The following is a 5,951-nucleotide window of genomic DNA, read 5'->3' as shown; positions in this document are numbered from 1 at the left end:
GTGCAATATCTGCATTCCTAGTCCAGGGGTCTCCATTTGGAGGGATCTTTCTAGGGGACCTTGGGCTAAGGCACTTTTCTTCACTTTAACTCAGCATTCACCACGCCAAGACTTTCTATCTTTCTCTTCCCCAAACCCATGGGTCCATAAAATGGCAGAAACCTTTTGTTTGGGGATTCTCTATGGTGAGATGATTTTCCTTATCTGTGCTGCATCAACCTACCTCTTGCCTGGTGCTGTTCTGTGGAAAAAAGGGAACATTGGGAAGCTGGTGGCTCTTGTTTCTACTTTTGCAGTAAATGAATTAGGTTTCATTGTGACTTTTAGTTTGGCTCATTGTCCTAAGTAACTGCCATGATACCTAACTGATGGCTGAACACTCTCTATATCAAAGAAGGTTGCAGGGGAATATAATGGACTCTTAATTCTCCTGTGTCTCCCCACCTCTTCCCATTTTCCCTCAATATCATAGAACAAGCAGAAAGTACAATATTCTGTTAGCTCTCCTCTGTCATTTTGAGACTATGACTTTTCACTTTTGTTTAATAATCCTTGCCACTTTGAAGTTAATTGCATCCACTGGAAGCTACTAATGGCTTCCAATTGTACCTAGAATGACATTTAAATTTCTTCTCATGGACAATAATGCCCCAGAGATCTGACCCTCACTTTTTTTCTGACTTTATTCATTACATTTTAGCCATTCTGGCTGTCTTCTTTCTTAAATACATCAAACTTTTCCTGTCTTGGACATTTTCTACATGTTTTACCTCTGGGTAGAATGTTTTCCCCAGATCTCAGCATGGCCAGCTTCTTCTCATGCCTAAGCTCAAATGTCACCTCCTTAAGGAGATGTTCCTTTTCCAGTGGGACCCCCATTCAGTCATTCTTTATTACCATGCTTCAGTTTTATAGTAATTGTCACTATCTTAAAATATGATATTTGAAAATTCACTTGTTTATGACTGCAATGTAAGCTATAAGCTCTCATTTATCATATTCCACTTATTAGCATAGTACCTGATATATAAATAAATAATAGATGTACTTTCTTCTTATCCTCCTAGCTGACATTCACCAACTTCCAGGTCACTGTTTGTGTTCTTAATGTTCTAAATGCATGTCCAGGTCACATTTGTGGCCTATTTAGTACCCTATTATATAGTTTTAAAAATTCTTCCTAAATGTATTTCACCATTCTCTACCTCAATAAGCCATTCTCAGAGCCATAATTTGTCATCATCTTGAACTTCTAAAATCCACCTCCCTTAGACCACAGTTACCTATCACACTCTTTTCTTAATTTCTACTGAATCTTCCCTTGAAGCTCATGTTGATTTACAGATCCTCGAATACCTTTTCTTCTGCTTCATAATTAACCCCTAAATTTTATTTCCTCTCCCATCTTCTCCTGAACTAAATTGCTAGCTGATGACTAAACATTTCGTGTACTCTCTCAAGGTCTAAAAACAATTCCTTAGTCACATGAGTGTATATTGGACTTTGGCAACATATTTGGACTTACAATATCAATGGAACTTTGCAAGGACAATGTTCTTTTCCTCTTGTTCTGTTCCAGAGTTGAGAGCAGAGCAGAATCTTTGCTCTGCTGGGTCATCTTTAAATCACCCCTAATGCCTAAGATGTTCTTTCTCATCTTCAAAACAGTTTCTTCTATTTTTTTTAAACTTCCAACTGTACCCCATCACCCTCATTCTCAATGTAAGACCACATATTTTCTATTAAAAAATAGATTCTTCTATTTTTCTAAACCTCCAACTATGTCCCATCACCCTCATTCTCAACATGAGACCACATATTTTTTTATTAAAAAAATAAAATAGATTCTGTCATATATGGATTCTTTTAATTTCCTACCTCTTAACATTTTTTGTCCTTGTTTCTTCTGATCTATCTCAGAGTATGAAGTGTACAATGTACCTATTTATTTTCAGTACCTAGTACACTTTTCAGTGGGCTTTGTTGTACATTGATTGAATAAATGACACAGGTGAAGGGCAGTTCAAAGCTTTATTAGAAGAAATTGAGATGTTTTAATATTCTGAAGACTAATACAGATGTGCTCAGACAGACCTATGGTCTGGAATAGAACAAAATACTAAATCCTCATGATACATTTAAACTAGTAGACATTTAGCCCTGCTGTCACACTGGGTCATATGTGACTGCATGTTAACAGATGCCACTGTGTTCATGGAGTCAGGAGATATAGTTTTCTAATCTTGACTGTTAATACTGTCATTGGCTCAACTTCAATAACTTCGTCCGAAAATGAGGCCCCTGATTGTCTCTAATTTCTCTGGCTCTAAAAGCGTATGATTCTTTTATTCCTTTGTCATTGTAGCAAATTGACAGCTAAAAGTGAGGACTTTGCTATAGAACAAGTGAACCCAGTGATGGGAAAAATATCTAAAGTGGGATTCTGGAAGAAGAGAATTCACCGAGGACATACTTAGGTTGACATGCTGAGTTTCCCTTACTGTTTTGTCTGGGCCTGGTCATAGCAGGACACATTAACACTTGAGGCCTGAACCTCATTCTTTGTACTTATTTCAAGCAGCAGCAGTAGAGAGGCAGATTCAGGTAGGAACATGAATTAGAAAGACCTTGTACACAATACAAAAGATGTACTCTTGTCAGAGGCATTCTAACCAGAGTGACTCCATCTTGAGTAGAGGCTGGGTAAATAAAGCTGAGACCTACTGGGCTGCATTCCCAGGAGGTTAGGCATTCCTAGTCACAGGACAAGACAGGAGGTTGGCACAAGATACAGGTCACAATGACTCTGCTGATAAAGCAGGATGTGGTAAATAAGCCCACCAAAACCCACCAAAACTAAGATGGCCATGAAAGTAACATCTGGTCATCCTCACTTCTCATTATATGCTAATTATAATGCATTAGCATGATAAAAGACACTCTCCCCAGAGCCATGACAATTTACAAATGCCATAGCAATGTCAGCAAGTTACCCTATATGGTTGAAAAAGGGGAGGGACCCTCAGTTCTAGGAACTGCCCACCCCCTTCCCAGAAAACTGATGAATAATCCACACCTTGTTTAGCTTATAATAAAAAAAAACTATAAATGTACTCAGTTGGAGTACATTTATACTATGGAGTGGCCATTCTTTATTGGAGTGGCCATTCTTTATTCCTTTAGTTTCTTAATAACCTTGCTTTCATTTCATTCTATGGACTCTGAATTATTGAGTGAGATCCAAGAATCCTCTCTCTTGGGGTCTGGATAGGACCCTTTTCTTTCTAGTAACACTTTTAGTTTTGAGGACAAGCAAAAACATGGAAGAGTTTTACATAATGACATAGATATAGTTTGGTGATGGTGAATACAAGAAAACCTATTAATTTTCCAGTGATTTACAGTGCACTACATAACATAATGCATTGTTGATTTGGAGTGTGAAAGCTGTTAATTTGTTCTATTTAGTCACTTTTTAGTTATGGCCAAGAAAGATAAGGGAAAGGACTAAGGATGGGTGAAGTCATTGTCCTCTATTTCTCTGAGAGTATTAATTGGTACTCTCCTCCATCAGACTCAAAACCAAGGTTTTCATAACTTGTAACATTTGTTACATTTTATATTTCTTTCTGTCACTTAGTCTATTCTTATGCCTCATATTAAGCCAAGAGAAATATATGTAGAGTGCTGCCTATGCTATTACTCACAAGCTCTGCTGGGACCAAGAAAATAAATATTTCCCCTCTTCTCAAGTATATTGTGTGTTTCTGTGTAGTTGTAAGGTTGGTAGTGAACCCAGTGACAAAGTCAGTGAGAAAGCAGCTATCCTTAAATTATTATTCACATTGTGTGTGTATGCGTGTGTGTGTGCATGCACGTTGTGCAATGCATTCTTTATTCAAAGATACAAGTTAATCATCTCTTTGTATGATAAGATGAATAATATCAGGCACCTTGGTGATGAAAGGAAAAAGGTGTGTTAGGGCACTACTCTAACTGTGTTTGTTGATTCAGGGCCTTTTGTGAGATCAAGATGGTAAGCTCCATTCCCATCTAGGAAAGCCAGTTTTAGTGGGATAAAATTCTGCTTTGAGCATCTAGATTTGAGTGCTGTCACCTGCCTTTTTTTCCACAAGGAAAAGTGGGCAAGAATGGGTTATCACAGATTATTCCCACAGGAAGGAGGGACACGTCTCATGAACATGCAGCATCATATTTGAGAAAAACAAAGAGTACATATTTGCTTATATGTCCACTTGCCATCTATCAGGTGGGCTGTGCCATTATCGGTTACTGAGAATGAAGAATTCTTTATAAGCAGGTGGTATAAAGTAAATAAGTCATACCCCAGTGGAAGGTCAGGTGGATGCTGAATATATGGTTTTATTTTTTAATGATGGAAAGCCACTTTCAGTTGCATTGAGCTTTTATTTACTAGTGGACATGGAGTGTACGGCATTCTGCAAATAATGCAGCTCCTATTTTTGCAATACAAATGGTCACATTTGGACAGACATGAAGCCAGGTAGTTTCATGTACTTAAAAAATTCACTTCAGTGAATACTATATGGATTGATCACAACTGTGGTCAACTTTGGATGGCTAAAAGTGGTAAAAAGCAAAACAGATGCTGATTTTTTTTTTAAAGGCAATTCAATTACCCTTTATCTTTCCCCTTAATATCACTAAAAAATGATTTAGATTGGAGTCATCCATTGTTTACTTGAAAGAACTTTTGCATCACCATATTCCTATCAAATATCCATGAGCCATGTATATTTAAGGACCTGTAAAATTACCCAATCCAGCTCTTTCAGCCCCACAGTATATAAAGTACCAAATAAAAATGAAAACAACTTTCAGTTCTTCTTTTGCCTAACAAGCAGGAAAACCTATTTTAATACCGAATATTCAATTGTAATGTGTGTAATTTTGTAGTCCTGCTGTAAAGAATATTTTTCCTGCTTGTACAAAGACATAACAGATGAAATTAGAGGATATTATATTGTCATATGCATCGGAGGAATAGAGTTGGTATTAAATCTTCCACATGGCACTCAGACACCAAGGCATCAGAAAAGAAAATGGCATTCCTCAAAATCCCTTTTCACCTTTCAACCCCAGGGGACCTCATTATATCTGAAGGAAGGTATTTGAAGAAGTCAAATGCAGAATGGGCTGTAAATTGTCATGGGGAGTTGTGGGAAAGGAGGGACTCTCATCTTGCCTGAAGCAGCGCCCTCTCAAGGAGCACGTAAAGTGCTGATTTCACATGCTTTGTTGATCCTCGAGTACTGTGACCATAGGAAGGGGAGGTTTGATTGATGAGACAGATCATTTAAGATTGTAGACACTGGCAGGTGATGGTTTTGAATAACAATGGCCAGAGAAGAGCTCATACTCCATTACTTGCAAATTCTGATTACAGACAAGACACCTGCAAATGACTCTGAGATTGGAGGTACCACAATCTATGTTTTATCAGCAACTCAGAGCAGTCTCTGTAGGGTCATCAACTGCCAGTCTTCATTGTATTAATATTCTAGGTTTTATATTCATTCAGATGAAAAAGTAATGAAACTTCAAAACGATGTAATCATATTACAATATCACTAAACTTACCTTCTAAGACACCCCCTGTGCTTTGGATAATGCTTTGTGTCATTCAATATGACATGTTTATTTATGCTGCATTAGATTTATTTTTTAAACTAGAGAGAAATAGTCATGCCTATAGAATTTTCTCATGATGGTTTCTCAAGTCCTGTACTCCTCTTGCATGGATTTTTTAAAAAAATTATTATTAATTGGAAGAGAAACTGTTGTGGCTCAGAAGATAATACCCTAAAATAAAGGCCTCAGAAGCAAAAGTTTCTCCCTGACCTTCTCCTGTCCTCCTGTCTCTCAGTCATTCTCCCATGAGGCTAGCCATGGAAACTAGAATCCCTCTT

At 37.5% G+C, this 5,951-nt stretch overlaps 1 annotated feature.

The window, feature by feature from the left end:
* Positions 4,855–5,684: an enhancer, noted in NCBI's record as "OCT4-NANOG hESC enhancer chr8:35913168-35913997 (GRCh37/hg19 assembly coordinates)". NCBI's record gives its function as "activates a minimal SCP1, AML or CMV promoter by ChIP-STARR-seq in naive H9 embryonic stem cells {active_cell/tissue: H9 hESC(naive)}" and the evidence as "EXISTENCE:reporter gene assay evidence [ECO:0000049][PMID:30033119]".

Source organism: Homo sapiens, chromosome 8 (genome assembly GCF_000001405.40).
Source record: "Homo sapiens chromosome 8, GRCh38.p14 Primary Assembly".
NCBI lineage: Eukaryota > Metazoa > Chordata > Mammalia > Primates > Hominidae > Homo > Homo sapiens.
The sequence above is the reverse complement of the archived record's forward strand: the minus strand, read 5'-3'. Positions and strand labels throughout refer to the sequence as shown.